At 53.6% G+C, this 14,194-nt stretch overlaps 1 protein-coding gene and 1 long non-coding RNA gene across 15 annotated transcripts in view, besides 9 other annotated features; one reads left to right on the top strand and one right to left on the bottom strand.

The window, feature by feature from the left end:
* The window catches only part of LOC105373194 (uncharacterized), a 14,383-nt gene extending 13,690 nt beyond the window's left edge, over positions 1–693 (bottom strand). Inside the window, exon 1 of the long non-coding RNA XR_949047.4 lies at positions 546–693. This is a non-coding gene — a long non-coding RNA (uncharacterized LOC105373194). The remainder of the gene's footprint in view (positions 1–545) is intronic.
* Positions 58–167: a silencer, noted in NCBI's record as "silent region_20799". NCBI's record gives its function as "represses an Ori minimal core promoter by ATAC-STARR-seq in GM12878 lymphoblastoid cells {active_cell/tissue: GM12878}" and the evidence as "EXISTENCE:reporter gene assay evidence [ECO:0000049][PMID:35858748]".
* On the top strand, positions 346–12,040 carry CDK16 (cyclin dependent kinase 16). 14 transcript variants are annotated; one of them, NM_001440783.1, is made up of 17 exons: positions 346–707; positions 4,304–4,385; positions 5,595–5,802; positions 6,428–6,561; positions 6,661–6,786; positions 6,877–6,933; positions 7,031–7,145; positions 7,815–7,909; positions 8,008–8,070; positions 8,322–8,445; positions 8,626–8,746; positions 8,855–8,952; positions 9,037–9,142; positions 9,224–9,266; positions 9,422–9,512; positions 10,610–10,687; positions 10,774–12,040. In NM_001440783.1, exons 1-17 carry the CDS (start codon positions 655–657, stop codon positions 10,809–10,811), a joined length of 1,632 nt encoding a protein of 543 aa, NP_001427712.1. In that variant the 5' UTR covers positions 346–654; the 3' UTR covers positions 10,812–12,040. The 14 variants fall into 14 exon arrangements, with proteins under 14 accessions (NP_001427712.1, XP_011542223.1, NP_001427713.1 ...); XM_011543921.2 differs by having other exon boundaries at positions 11,063–12,040; NM_001440784.1 differs by having other exon boundaries at positions 4,316–4,385.
* Positions 358–477: an enhancer, noted in NCBI's record as "active region_29586". NCBI's record gives its function as "activates an Ori minimal core promoter by ATAC-STARR-seq in GM12878 lymphoblastoid cells {active_cell/tissue: GM12878}" and the evidence as "EXISTENCE:reporter gene assay evidence [ECO:0000049][PMID:35858748]".
* Positions 598–667: an enhancer, noted in NCBI's record as "active region_29587". NCBI's record gives its function as "activates an Ori minimal core promoter by ATAC-STARR-seq in GM12878 lymphoblastoid cells {active_cell/tissue: GM12878}" and the evidence as "EXISTENCE:reporter gene assay evidence [ECO:0000049][PMID:35858748]".
* Positions 811–1,450: an enhancer, noted in NCBI's record as "NANOG-H3K27ac-H3K4me1 hESC enhancer chrX:47078167-47078806 (GRCh37/hg19 assembly coordinates)". NCBI's record gives its function as "activates a minimal SCP1, AML or CMV promoter by ChIP-STARR-seq in naive H9 embryonic stem cells {active_cell/tissue: H9 hESC(naive)}" and the evidence as "EXISTENCE:reporter gene assay evidence [ECO:0000049][PMID:30033119]".
* Positions 868–1,027: a silencer, noted in NCBI's record as "silent region_20800". NCBI's record gives its function as "represses an Ori minimal core promoter by ATAC-STARR-seq in GM12878 lymphoblastoid cells {active_cell/tissue: GM12878}" and the evidence as "EXISTENCE:reporter gene assay evidence [ECO:0000049][PMID:35858748]".
* Positions 1,048–1,157: a silencer, noted in NCBI's record as "silent region_20801". NCBI's record gives its function as "represses an Ori minimal core promoter by ATAC-STARR-seq in GM12878 lymphoblastoid cells {active_cell/tissue: GM12878}" and the evidence as "EXISTENCE:reporter gene assay evidence [ECO:0000049][PMID:35858748]".
* Positions 1,168–1,237: a silencer, noted in NCBI's record as "silent region_20802". NCBI's record gives its function as "represses an Ori minimal core promoter by ATAC-STARR-seq in GM12878 lymphoblastoid cells {active_cell/tissue: GM12878}" and the evidence as "EXISTENCE:reporter gene assay evidence [ECO:0000049][PMID:35858748]".
* Positions 10,432–10,932: an enhancer, noted in NCBI's record as "H3K4me1 hESC enhancer chrX:47087788-47088288 (GRCh37/hg19 assembly coordinates)". NCBI's record gives its function as "activates a minimal SCP1, AML or CMV promoter by ChIP-STARR-seq in primed H9 embryonic stem cells {active_cell/tissue: H9 hESC(primed)}" and the evidence as "EXISTENCE:reporter gene assay evidence [ECO:0000049][PMID:30033119]".
* Positions 10,933–11,433: an enhancer, noted in NCBI's record as "H3K4me1 hESC enhancer chrX:47088289-47088789 (GRCh37/hg19 assembly coordinates)". NCBI's record gives its function as "activates a minimal SCP1, AML or CMV promoter by ChIP-STARR-seq in primed H9 embryonic stem cells {active_cell/tissue: H9 hESC(primed)}" and the evidence as "EXISTENCE:reporter gene assay evidence [ECO:0000049][PMID:30033119]".

Below are 14,194 nucleotides of genomic sequence, written 5' to 3' on the forward strand. Positions count from 1 at the left end.
TGAGCGCAATTATGACCAATCACCTTGCGGAATATTCGGCCTATAGCGAAGGAGGAGCTCAGAACAAAAAGGAGACCCCACCCCCGCCGACGGTGAAAACCTATGAAACCTGGGCGGAGGCGTGCGGAGTCGGGTAGAGAGCGAAATCACGCCTCTTCAGTCAGCCACGCCCTTTATTCTTGCTCGGCCTCGCCACAGAGAGCAAATCAGATTGGCTGGGCGACAACCTCAAAGGGCGGGGCTGCACACGTTCACTACGGGAATGAGGTAGCGGTGGAGGGGGCAGTTGGGCGGGGATAGGCCGTCCTAGCTAAGGTGGTAAAGGCCAATAACTCTTCAGGCTGCCTCTCCTCGAAAAGTCATCTTCTCGCGAACCTTTAAAATGCCTTCCTCCCCAAGCACCTCAAGGGACTAGAACTGAGTGCTTCATTTGTCTTTTTTCCTCCTTGCAAAAGTCCCGTTTGCCACCATGGGGATGTACCAAGTGAGACCGAGTAGGGGGAACGAGTGGTGATTGACGCGCCAGGTTACTGGCCACTGCTCACCTAGGCGCTAGCAAACTTCTGCCAAGATCGGAACTGAGTACTAAACAGCCTCCACAGTTCTCCCTGGTGCCGTCTCCGGCTTGGCGCCGCATCCTCCTCTGGGCTCGCGATGGCCGCGTCCCCTCCCGCTGCGGACGGGTCCTTTGGTACATGCAGTCCGAGGTGAGTCCCCTCCTTTCCACTTCACCCTTCCGAGCGCCTGCGTGCGCATGCGCGGAGCGCGGCGCGCGCGGCGGTTGGGCCGTTGGCTGTTCGGCCCTGGGATCCGCCGCCACTCCGCGATCAGACCGCTCTGTGCCGCGAGCCGCCGTGAGCACTCGGATTCAAGCCGGCGCCAACGAGTCCGGGGGCATCGCCCGCAGCGGCCAAGCTCATGGCCGGCTGAGCGGGACGCCGCCTCCGCCTCAGCCACCGCCGCCGCCGCCGCCTCCTCCTCCTCAGCCGGCGGCGGCCCGGGCCCAGCAACCATGGCTGAAGACTACTGGGACGGGCGCCTGCGGCGAACAGGAGGAGAAGGAGGTCGCGCGGCCTCATCCCGGGCCGCCGCCCCAGGCGCCGCCGCGCCGGCCCCGCGGCTCTGAGGTTGCTCGCGCGCCCCCGCCGGTGAGCGCGTCCCCGAGGCGTGGAGGCTGCCCCTCCTCCTTCAGAACCCACCTCGGGCGGTGCCCAGGGGTCTGGGCTGCGGGGCTGGCAGGTGCCCCCACCCCCGGCGAATTTCCCAGAATGCACCGGGGCGGGGGGTCATTTGGGGCCTCCCTGACCTTGGCCCCGCCCTGGGCCTGTCCTGGGAGCTGGGGTTGGGTAGTGCTGTGGGTGCTAATGGGGACCTGGGGGAGTCAAAGGACCAAAGGGTGTGGAAATGGGTGACAATGGGGTGAAAGACTTGGGGGGGTTGCTGATGGGGGTCGGAGCATGTGGCAGTAAGCCTCACGCCAATAAGTCGTGTAAGGTTCAAGGCCCCGTGTGTGCTTGTGGAAGGAGGGCGGGGTGCGGAGCGGGTGAGGGACCCGAGGGTGTATAACGGGGGGTAGGGTGTCGAGGAAGTTCTAAGACATGCTCATAGGGATTATGTCCGCAGAGAGGCCCGGTGTGTGTTCATGGGGGACAGGGTGGCACAGGTACCAGAACGTGTGTTGGTGGGGTCAGGGCTCTGAGGCCTGGTGCGTGGCGATGAGGCCCTGGATGGTGTTAATACTGCGTGTCTGTCCGTGGGGCCTGCAGTGTGTGAGAATGCAGTGTGTGCTTGTGGAGGGCAGGTAGCTGAAGGACTCGAGTGTGGTGTGTGCGCCAGTGGGGGTCATGGCTGTAGAGGGTGTATGCCTGTGGCCTCGAAGGTCTAGGTAGTTTGGGACCCAGTATATGCTAATGAGGGCAGAGTGGAGGAAGGACCTGAGGGTATCTAACGGAGGAAGGACTGTGGAATACCTGAGCCTGGCCTAAAGGAGATGAGAATTGCGTGTCTGTCTGGGCCCAGGAAGGAGTGGTGGGGAAGTGTCTTAGCACTGTCAGAGGCTTAGTGGACGAAGGGTAAAGGTGATGTGAGGTGTGAGTGTGTCCATGGACACAGGGAATGTGAGTCTCGAGGGCACACTAGGAAGGAGCAGGGTAATAGAAGTACTGGTGGTTGCTAATGTGGGTTTAGAGACATAGAGGCACTTCAATGTGTGCCATTTCGAGAGTCAGCTGTGTGAAGTCTGGAATATGCTAATAAGCATCAGAACCTTGTGAAGATTGTGCCCTTGTGTCCGCGGAGGACCAGAGTATGTTGAGGTTCCAGGGGGTGCTACTCGGGGGTAGGGCTGCGGAGGGGATCTAGTGTGTAATAAGGGGGATCAGGGCTTTCATGAAGGGATCTAAGTGTGAACCAACAAGGATTATATCTGTGGAGATATCTCTGAGCAGAGAGCAATAGAGGACAGGAATGTGTGATGATCTCGGTGTGCTAAAGTGGATTACAGCTAGGGAGGGCTGAAGTGTGTGCTAATGGGAGTCAGGGCTGAATGAGACCTGTGTGCACTAATGAGGGTCAGGCCATGGTAGAACAGTGTGTTTGTGTGTCCCTGCGGAATAGGGCTGAGTAAGGGTTCAGGGTGCACTAATGGGGAGGCAGGACTGTGTGAGGCCCGGCGTGTGCTAATAGAAATCAGGCCTGAGTGAAGACTCAGTTTGTGCTGACAGAGGGGACAGGACAGTGGAAGGACTGGAATGTGTGTTAAGGATGGTCGTAGCTGTGAAGGGGCCTGAGTGTGGGTAACACTGGTTAGAGATCTATCTGTAAGGTTCACTTTATGTTAATAGCATTCAGAGCAGCATGAAGAAGGTCCAGTGAGTGCTAATGTGGGTCAGCTATAGAGTACCCCAAGTGCATGTTAATAGAGGTCAGAATCATGTAGGGGGAACAGTACGTTAATGAGGGGAGTCAGTACTATGGAGAAGGTAACAAGCAGCTAGGCCAGGGAGGGGCCCAAGAATGTGGTGGCAAGAGTTACTTAGAGGAGGCTAAGTGTGTGCTGACAGAGTTCAGGGCGGTATGTTATGTGTTAGGGCTTTGAATGCTGATGGGTATATGAGATAATAGCAGGTAAGATGTAGTGAGGCCTCCTTGAGGGTCTAGCGTGTATTAATGGGGATCAGGACATAGGGTGCGATGACCAAGTCCTTAGTGGTTGGTGTGTTGAGTATCCTTGAGTATGAGAGTAGTCTGAGGATGGGTGTATGTCTTTGGGGATCAGGAAGGGTCAGGCAGGACATGTGCCTTTTTTGGGGTAAGGTTTTATGTCCAGTTTCTTGCTCCCTCCTTTTTTGAAATCTAAAAAGCTCATTCAACTGAAATGATATTTAAAAGTTTCCTTGCGTATAAATGTTCAATTATCTCTGTTCACAGGGGCATGTCTGAGACCCCCATCCCCCTTTCTGGGAGTGTTATGTGATATACAGATTTTACACCCCATCTTCCTAAAATCCCAAAAAACTGAACTCCAGAGCATGTCCAGCCCTTGGGGTTTCCAGTTAGAGGTCGTGGACCCATGGCTCCTCCTGGCTTCCTCCCCATCCTCCATTCAGCCCTACTTCCAGTCTCCCCCAGCCCCTCCCCTACTCCCTGTCACAACATGCAAAGCAACTGGGTATCTGTGCCATATGGGGACACAAGGTTGTCTTTGGGAGCTGGCCATGCTTTACCTTCCTTGCCTTAGGCCCAGTATTCAGCCTCCCAGGTCAGGATGTTTTGTGGTTATCCTGGGTTCTCCATGGATGGACCTCATCCTGTATCTGAGGTCTTTCTGCTAGGGTGGCCCCTACCCCTCCTGGGGATAGTGAGTTCAGCCAGGTGGGGGCGAGAACTGCTGGGGGAAGCACCTGATTTCAAGGTAGCAGATGACCCATTTCTCTCCTCAAATCCAGCCCCAGTCTCATCCTCGACCTCCTATCTAGCTCTACTTCCCTTGGGCCCAGGGCCATCTTAGGCCCTGCTGTGAGTCCAGATGGTTCCTGGGTCAGGTCTTTCCCCCTCCTTGCTGGCCCAGAGCCCAAGAGGAAGCAGAAGACGGCTGGCCTAAGCCTTTTGGTGGCCCCATTCCCTTCAGCAATCCATCTAGGTCATCTTCCTGTCGATGCCAGCATCCCTGGGCTACCTTGTTTAGGGTTGTTCAATGAATAGCAGGGACTCATCACCTCAGCAGAGGTTGGTCCTAGGCCCTCAGCCCCCTGATTCACTTATTTCTGCCATAAGCACTTTTTGAGCATCTACTCTGTGTCAGTCACTATTCCAGGTCCTCAGGATATAGCCGTGACCTAAACACAGAAATCTACCCTGGCGGAGCTGATCTTCTAGTTGTGGCGGTGAGGAGATAGACAGTAAAGACTAAAGAAACCAATAAGTAGGTGGTGTCATTTCTGAGGAGGTAATGAGTGCTGGGGGGATAACTGGCAAGGTGAGGGAGTTCGGGATGGTTGAGATTTTAAATAGGGTTATTCACAGAGGCCTCATGAAAAAGGTGACCTTTGAGCAATGGCCCAAAGGGAGAGGGGAGTGAGCCATTTCGAAATTTAGGGGAAGGGTGTTCCAGGTACCAGGAACAGCCAGTGTAAAGGCCCCGAGGTGGGACTCTACTGGGTGTGGTTGCAGAACAGCAACTAGGAATGATGGCGGGGGGGTGTGGGGGTGGGGGGGGGCCGTGGGCAAGAGGCAATAGGGGCAAATGAGGTAAAGAAACACCTGTGGGCCACATTGAGGACTGGGGCGTGTATTTGGGGTGATGAAAAATGTACATTCTTGAGTAGAGGAGAAATGTGACTTGGCTTGTAAAAGTCTAGATTGGACCCTAGGGGTCCTAACCTGATCAAACCGTTCTGGCAGCCCTGAGAAGAGCTGGTGTACACTGAGACCCCCCCGCCCTCCACACAATCCCACCCAGTGGTTGGGTCTGGGCAGGACACCCTGACACACGCTCCCCTCCCCCCCCCCACCTGGGTAGATGAATGGGATGATGCAGTGGTTGTCATGACGATGAGTGCTAGAGAAGTCAGGAAGAGGGTCCCTGTGGCCACAGGGAATAGTCTGCCTTGGCCTTTGAGGGTGGTGCTAGGGGAACTATGCCACTCTATGGCCGTGCTCGAGACCATGTCACCCATCCTTCAATTCTGGGCACACGCCCTGGCCGACCCATGGCTGGGCCCATCACTGCAGCTGTACCTGAGAAGATCTGCAATGGAGCCTTCTGCTCCTGCAGTGGGGCTTTTCCCCTAGATCCCAACAATCCATCGTTAGGGCCCTTGCCCTCAATCAGCCACCTAAATCTGAGAACTCAGGTGGGCTACGTAGGAGCAGGGTCCCAGTGGGGCTGGCTGTGTGGGTGGGCAGGTACTGACAAAGATCCCCATCCATGCTGGGTTTCCAGAACTCCTGAGTGGCTCTGGGGTCCATAGTGGTTGAGTGAGCACTGACAAGTTCATGTCAGTGCCCCCTGCTAGGCTGTGGGCTTTAGGGAACCCATGGTGATCAAGCAAATGCTAATAAGAGACCCATTTCCATCCTTGTCCCTTGCTCAGATCGCCATGGATCGGATGAAGAAGATCAAACGGCAGCTGTCAATGACACTCCGAGGTGGCCGAGGCATAGACAAGACCAATGGTGCCCCTGAGCAGATAGGCCTGGATGAGAGTGGTGGTGGTGGCGGCAGTGACCCTGGAGAGGCCCCCACACGTGCTGCTCCTGGGGAACTTCGTTCTGCACGGGGCCCACTCAGCTCTGCACCAGGTGGGTCCACTGGCTATCCCCTCTCCCATATGGCCCCAGGCTGCTTCCCAGGTGTTGCCTCCTGGTCACATTCCTCATTTTCCTCTAAATTTTCTGCCCTTTCTCTGCCCCCCATGTGCTCTCTTCTCCCCCTTCCCTCCCATCTTCTCTCAACACCGTCTGTCTATCTGTCCATCTGCGCTCCTCTTCTTGCCTTTCTGCCCAGGCCCCGTGGTGGGGGACAGAAGGTGCCTTGCCTGTCACAGCTGCCCCAAGGCTCCCTCTGCCCTTCTGCCCTCTATGATGGCCTCCTCAGTCCTCTGGTACCTGCCTGCCCTGGGCCTGCCTTCCCAGGACCCTTGGCTTCCCCTGCCACCACCTAGCTGCCGGCTCTGAGCTCAGCTTGCCCTTGGAAGGAAGGGTTCCACTAGGTGACTTTTGCTTCCCCACCCCCCAGTTCAACCTGCCCTAGATGTACCTGAGCTTCCCTGGGCTCAGGTACATCACCCTCTCCCCGAGGGACTCCAGGTTTCCTGTGGGGGCCACGTGCACACATGTGTGATGATGGAATATGTTTCGTGGGGGATGGGGTGTCCTGTGGTTCCTGACCCCACCTGGCCTGCCCTACCCCTCTCCCTGCCACCAGAGATTGTGCACGAGGACTTGAAGATGGGGTCTGATGGGGAGAGTGACCAGGCTTCAGCCACGTCCTCGGATGAGGTGCAGTCTCCAGTGAGAGTGCGTATGCGCAACCATCCCCCACGCAAGATCTCCACTGAGGTGCTTGACCCCGTCTGGATGGTGGAGGAACTGGAAAAGGGGGTTGGACCTGGGGAGGTGGAGCTCATGATCCTGTTTCTCTCTTGCCTTACCTGCTAGGACATCAACAAGCGCCTATCACTACCAGCTGACATCCGGCTGCCTGAGGGCTACCTGGAGAAGCTGACCCTCAATAGCCCCATCTTTGACAAGCCCCTCAGCCGCCGCCTCCGTCGTGTCAGCCTAGTAAGCACCTTCTGTTCCCGTCCTCTCCTTTTTCTTCTCTCCCAGACCCTTCTCCTGAGCCAGCTTTAACCTGCCTCATTTGTCCCACAGTCTGAGATTGGCTTTGGGAAACTGGAGACCTACATTAAGCTGGACAAACTGGGCGAGGTGAGAGGCAAATAGGAGGCCCATGGTGGGGATGAAGGTCAGTGGGAACTCCTGGAATCTCATAGCACCTCTCCTGTCACACTTCCTCACATTCCAGGGTACCTATGCCACCGTCTACAAAGGCAAAAGCAAGCTCACAGACAACCTTGTGGCACTCAAGGAGATCAGACTGGAACATGAAGAGGGGGCACCCTGCACCGCCATCCGGGAAGGTACACACCCCCATCCCATCTGCCCCAGGCTTCCCCAACCCACCCCTGGCGCACACACTCCATAATGAGAACAAAGACTGGTTCTAAGACCCCCCAAAACACTCTGGCTTTCATGGGAATGCCTGTCACCCACATATCCAGGTAATAATCAGGGTAACCAGGAATCTGTTCCCATTTGGATAAAAGGTAGATGAATTGCAAACCAGGGTTTGGTTCTGAGAACACCCCTGAAAGTGCTCACCAGTTTATTTACTGTAACAATTTCTAGTCAGAATATCACATGGAATGAATTTGAATTGCACTGAAATTTAGTGTGCAAATTCGATTTCACGCGATGCTGCAGGCCTATGTACTGAGGGTTGGAGCCAGGCCCCTTCCCAGAAACCAAAAACAGGTTGTGAAAATCTAGTGTCACATGAGCCTGGGGCTGCAATCCCAGGTTCTTGCTCCATACTCTCCTCTGAGTCTTATTTTCCACATCTGCAACATGGAGACACAACTTTCTTCTGGCATGAGGCGGGTTAGAGCTGGTGGCTCCGAGGCATTACCCTGAACTGTCTAGAGAAAGAAAGAAAACCTGGGCTTGTCCCTTTCTAGTCCTTGTCCTCACCTCTGTCCTGAGGGTAGGACCCTGACTCTTCCCCTGTCCCACTCCCATGCTTCCTGCAGTGTCCCTGCTCAAGGACCTCAAACACGCCAACATCGTTACGCTACATGACATTATCCACACGGAGAAGTCCCTCACCCTTGTCTTTGAGTACCTGGTAAGGTTGAGTGGCAGTAGGTCCCAGGGGGAGGTGAGGAGAAGGCCAGGAGCCATAGGAAGTAACCCTCATTCCTGTACCACCTCTTCTTTCCTCAGGACAAGGACCTGAAGCAGTACCTGGATGACTGTGGGAACATCATCAACATGCACAACGTGAAAGTGGGTGTGGGGCAGGAAGCAGGGGCACAAGGGGGCCCCCACTCACCCACTCCAACCCACAAATCTCCCAGAAACGGACTTTTCCCTTTGGCTTTTTTTGCTAGGAGCCCTTGGAGGGCACTGGGACCCTGTCCTCTTTTGTGTGACAAGGCTCTGGGCCTAGTGTCTGTGTTTGGGAGGGGAGCAGTGCCTGCTGGGGGTCGGGCTAGTGGATAGTCTTTGACCTCTGCCTGCCATTCCTGGGTCCCCAGCTGTTCCTGTTCCAGCTGCTCCGTGGCCTGGCCTACTGCCACCGGCAGAAGGTGCTACACCGAGACCTCAAGCCCCAGAACCTGCTCATCAACGAGAGGGGAGAGCTCAAGCTGGCTGACTTTGGTACCACTGGCCTCCCCTTTCTTATTGGCTCCCCAGCCTCCTACTTTCCCATGACCACTTAGTCTCACTTCCCTTCAGCCTTGCCAGATTTTGCCTAGGACACCCTCAGTCTCAACTGCACTCTCCCCGAGACTTTGCCCATGACTCCCTCATTCTAGCTGTCCTTTCTCTGATTTCCAGGCCTGGCCCGAGCCAAGTCAATCCCAACAAAGACATACTCCAATGAGGTGGTGACACTGTGGTACCGGCCCCCTGACATCCTGCTTGGGTCCACGGACTACTCCACTCAGATTGACATGTGGTAAGGACAGGTGGAAGTGTGGCAGGGGCCATGTGGTAAAGGGGGTGGCTTGGTCACAACAGCCACCCAGCCAGCTGCCTTTCTATTCACTGTGCCCTCCCTGCCCAGGGGTGTGGGCTGCATCTTCTATGAGATGGCCACAGGCCGTCCCCTCTTTCCGGGCTCCACGGTGGAGGAACAGCTACACTTCATCTTCCGTATCTTAGGTGAGGAGGCATGGGCCCTAGGCGCTGTGGAGACACACGGGGAGGACCTGTGAAATGTTTGGGATAACTCCTCTTCCCTACTAGGAACCCCAACTGAGGAGACGTGGCCAGGCATCCTGTCCAACGAGGAGTTCAAGACATACAACTACCCCAAGTACCGAGCCGAGGCCCTTTTGAGCCACGCACCCCGGTGAGGCTGGTGGGTGGGTGGGCGTTAGGGGCCAGAGTGTCCAAACTCATTTTAAATCAGGTCTCTTTGTCCTTGTGGCAGACTTGATAGCGACGGGGCCGACCTCCTCACCAAGCTGTTGCAGGTGAGACCACCTTGGGTCAGCCTTGGGGGTATGGGATTCCAAGTGTGGGGAAACAGGGACCCCCCCCCTCAAACCAGGGGCAGGGTCTGAGGTGGGCAGAGAGACCTACTTGTTGAAGATATCAATACTATCCCCCTCCCCGCACCCCCACTCAGTTTGAGGGTCGAAATCGGATCTCCGCAGAGGATGCCATGAAACATCCATTCTTCCTCAGTCTGGGGGAGCGGATCCACAAACTTCCTGACAGTGAGTGGAGCTGGGGAATGGACCGGCCAGCGTGGGGACTGGGAAACAGGACTGCTGGGGCCAGCTGGCGGGTTGTGTAGGATTCTGGCTGTGCCACCTCTACGTGGGGGGACATCTTGTTCACGTGTGTGATGGGTTGTATTTGTTATGAAAACATTTTTTAGTTTTCAGTTCCTTTTACCTTTCATGAAAAATTTAAAACATACATAAAAATATATGCAATAGCACTTTACTTTTTTTAAAGTAGACATTTCCTTACATGTGCTAAAAAATGCACAAATCATAAGTATACTATACAATGAATTTTCATAAATGAAACACATCCTTGTAACTAGCACAAAAGTCAAGAAACAGAATGTTAAAAGCTCCCCACCCCCAGCTCCCTTGCATCTCCTTCAGTTATTCCCAGCCCCTTCCCAAAGGGTGGCCACTGTTTTGACCTCTAACAGCAAGGATAAGTTTTTTCTGTCCTTGTACTTTATAGAAATAGAATCACATGTGATGTTCTTTTTATATCTGGCTTTTAAAAACTTTTTAATATGGATATTTTCAAATATATGTATTTATATATTAGTCAAAGTAATATGATGAGTCCCTAAGTACTCCAGTGAGTCATCAATTCATGGTCAATCTGGTTTTATCTATATTCTCTCTGATTATTTTGAATCACATCCAATCCCAGACATCATAGCATTTATCCTTAAATAATTTCAGCATATACCTATAAAAGATTTTTTTAAAACAACAATATTATTATCAAACCTACAAAAAACATTTGCTCACTTTCCCTATCTTCCCACTGGATTAATATATAAAGCAAACCCCAAACACCACCCATCACCTAGACTTAACAGGTGGTAATTGCAATACCATAATTCACTTGACAAAGTTAATAATGATTTCTTTGTGTCATGTAATAGTCTATATTTCATCTTCCCTGGTTGTAGCTGGTTTGTGTATGGAATTGTTTGACAGATAAAGGTCAAGCCTCTCAGAGAAGGGGCAGCTTTTTCTAATTCTTCCCATGGGGTCATATGGGGCTGGTCCTAGATGACCTCATGGGTCATCCCCCACTTCTATGTCTCCCCCATCTGTAGCTACTTCCATATTTGCACTAAAGGAGATTCAGCTACAAAAGGAGGCCAGCCTTCGGTCTTCGTCGATGCCTGACTCAGGTAGGTATAGCCCCTTGTCTTCCTCCCTGCCCCACCCACCTACCTGCTTACCCACCAACAGCCATCTGCTCTGCTTTCCCCCACAGGCAGGCCAGCTTTCCGCGTGGTGGACACCGAGTTCTAAGCCACAGACCGAGGCCCCAGCAGGCAGCGGCTGGAGGGATGCCACACCCCTCACAGGGCAGCCCCCAACTACATCTTCCCTGCTTACTCTCTGCCTACCTGCCTGAGCCATGTTCACCTGCCCACTTGTCCCCTGCTGCCTGCCCAAACACCCCACCATTGGCCTGTCAACCCACCCATTGGCCTGTCTGCTGGGTGCTAACAAAGCTCTCATCACTCCTTCACTTGGTCTGTCTGTCTCTGTCTTGGTAGTTGCCGGTGGACAGCATGGCCGTGCCAGCCTCCCACACTGAGGCCAGGTCTACCCCCCATCATACCAGCCCCCAGGACCACTACCCCACGGCCAGCCAGGGGTCCAGAGCTAGCCCAGGCTGGGGATCTCGACTCAGACAAGATGGTGACAATGCCTTGAGTCTGAGGCATCCTCTGCCTGCTTTCCTGCCTGCCCCACCTGCCTCATATTGTGTGGGCCTTTTTTTGTTTGTTTCATTCATTGTTTTTTTTTTTTTAATTATTTTAAATGAGATTTTTGTTTTTTTTAAATGCAATATCTCTGTATACAGACTGGCTGGGCCCCACCCCCTGCGTGTGGCCCTCCCACAGTATTTTGTGCAATGAAGCCCTGCTCCCAGCCTTTCAGAGACAGGGACACAGCCCCTATTTGGAACCCTGATCATCACCAGACCCTGGGATTGGCTATGGGAAAGCATGCCACAGCCACTCGCCTTCCTACCCCCGCCCGCCATCCCCAGTTGCAGGGGGATCTGGGGACTACCAGAGACTCTGGGAAATGGACAAGGTGGGGGGCCCCACTCTTTCTCTCCTGCAGTCCCGTAGCTGGGGCCTCCTTCCTTCTCAGGGTCTCCCCAGCCCAGTCCCCTTGCTCCCATCCCACTCGGTGCTGTTGGGTAGGGGCCCTGCCAGGAACTGACCAGCTCAGCGAGGAGCCATAATGTGCATATGTGCACAAGCAGGGTTGGGGGAGGGGGGTGTGAGGGGTTGTGCCCAGGTGTTGCCCCCTATCTCCTGGGGAGGGTGAGGCAGGGCAGGGACAGTCTCCAGGGTCAGTCCCTGGATGGGTGGTTACCTCCCCTTCCTCCACCCTAAGCCCTGGGGCCCTGAAATGGGGTGGGAGGGCAGGGGTGGGAGCCCTCCTAGTGGGTTTGGGGGGTTGGGTTCCTGAATGCACCATAATCGCTGTATGAAATATTAAAAAGTCTAAAGTGAAAAGCCTGCTTGCAAATCCCTGTAGGGGTGGAGGGTGGCCGAGCTGGGGTGATTATTGGGACCTTGGAGAATTCATACCTCATCACCACTGTCTAGGAAAACACTGGGAGTGGGCCAGGGACACGTCACGACTATGAAAAAGGCATCTAAGGTATTGCATATGTAACAGTAGAACATGGAGTTGAAGCAGGTAGGGCAGGCTGAATGGTGTTGATGGGTTGAGAAGCAGAAAGGGGAGTTAGATTTGCCCAGGAATATGAGGAAGCCTGATAAGAGGGTGGAGGCAGGGAAGTGGAGAGACGATGTTTGAAAGACACTGGACGGCCCAATAGAACCATGGATGGGAAGATGAGGCAAAGGCCCAGTATGGCCATCTGACTAGGAAACCATGAAGAGGAGGGAATGTTCAGGACGGTAGGGGGTAGATTTTGGACCACTGAGTAGGTAGAGAAATCCTTTAATACATGGATCAAATTAAGCAGTGGGGCCATAGATGGACCTGGAAATTTCAATTATTAGTGTCCAGGAAGTAACAGAAACCATGGGCATGGGTGAGAGAGTTTGCAAGAGGCCAGGGATCAATGACACAACCTGGGGTTTGCCCTCAGATATGAGGATAATTGAAACTTATTTTCTTTGTCCTGTGAGTTCCAGCCCCAGTCCCACCATCTTGGGCAAAGCCAAGGATTGTTTTCTAAGCAGAAGAGGGGGTGAGCAGGGCCAGGCAAATACTGCAAGTAATGGCAACCCTAATTAAGTGGCTGTTTACTAAAGCCCAGTGGTGGGGGCCCATGAACTTCTAATCACTCTACTGTGTGTGTTTGTTTTTTGAGACAGAGTCTCTGTCGCCCAGGCTGGAATGTGGCGGCACAATCTTGGCTCACTGCAACCTTTGCCTCCTGGGTTCAAGCGATTTTCCTGCCTCAGCCTCCTGAGTAGCTGGGATTACAGGCGTGCACAACCACGCCCACCTAATTTTTTATTTTTAGTAAAGATGGGGTTTCACCATATTGACCAGGTTAGTCTCGAACTCCTGACCTCAAGTGATCCACCCACCTCGGCTTCCCAAAGTGCTGTGATTACAGGTGTGAGCCACCAAGCCCAGCCTCTACCGTGTCTTTCTAAGCACTTTAGTGATGTTTCAGCTTGCAGCCTCATGGTGCCATGATGACTGCCATGTCCCCAGAGATGGAAAAGCAAGCAGGGAAGACAGAACACCTTCCTTACCTGTCTGTGTTCTTTTAACGGCTGGAACTTCCACAAGCTCCTCAGCAGACTTCCTGTGCCATTTCTTGGCTAGAATCAGATGACATGGCCACTTCTGGCAGCAAGGGAGGATGGGAAAAGGAGGGCCTTGCAAAGGGGGACAGGATTGCCAGGCTGGATTTAAAAGGTCTAGAACTCACCCAACTGCTCTGGGAAGTGGTAGGGTCACTGGTGTGGGCAGAGGTTGGCCTCTGGAAGGTGGAAAAAAAAAAACGGTCTAGGGCTGGGAAAGGAGGTCTCTTGGATTTACCTGGCTGCCCAGATAAATGGGGAGGGGGAGTCTGCAGAGGGGCAATGGGGAGAATCAATTCAGAGAATCTGACAAGATTCAACTGGGCTTGAAGAGCAGCTATCTGCCATGTGTCTGACTCAACTCAAATGCCACTTTCTTTGGGGACCCTTAAGTGAAAGGCCTGCTCCCTTTCCTCACCCAGAGCTTACACAACTGAGTTTGTGACCCCTCATCTATGCCAGGTCTGGGCTGGGGGCTGGAATCACAGTAATAAAGACACAATCCCTGCCCCGCAGAGATTAACTGAAAATAGGTAAATTATGAAATTGTGAGGGGGAAGGGAGGTTCGAAATTAAAGTCATCATCAACGGGGCTGGCAGCCCCAGCAGAGGAAAGAATAGCATAGCCTAGAGCAGTGGTTCTCAACCAGAGACATTTTTCCCCCAAAGGACATTTGGTAATGTCTGGAGATACTTGGTTGTCCTGAGGGGTACTACTTGGTATCTAGTAGGTAGAGGCCAGGGATGCTGCTACATATCCTGCAATGCCCACAACAAAGAAATGACAGTGCTGAGGTTGAGAGACCCTGGCCTAGTCCAAGGGTTCTCAAACTTTGGGTCTCGGGATTCCTTTATGTTCTTAAAAGTTTAAGATATTCA

The sequence above is a fragment of the Homo sapiens genome, chromosome X (assembly GCF_000001405.40).
Source record: "Homo sapiens chromosome X, GRCh38.p14 Primary Assembly".
In the NCBI taxonomy this organism is placed as follows: Eukaryota; Metazoa; Chordata; class Mammalia; order Primates; family Hominidae; genus Homo; species Homo sapiens.

Bases quoted from the DNA above. Each gene is read 5' to 3' on its own strand.
- CDK16 (XM_011543920.4), top strand. From the start codon at position 5,139: ATGCCACTCTATGGCCGTGCTCGAGACCATGTCACCCATCCTTCAATT. The intron at 8,071-8,321 runs GTGGGTGTGGGG...CTGGGTCCCCAG, and splicing joins TCAACATGCACAACGTGAAA to CTGTTCCTGTTCCAGCTGCT. The intron at 10,688-11,062 runs GTAGGTATAGCC...CTGTCTTGGTAG, and splicing joins TTCGTCGATGCCTGACTCAG to TTGCCGGTGGACAGCATGGC.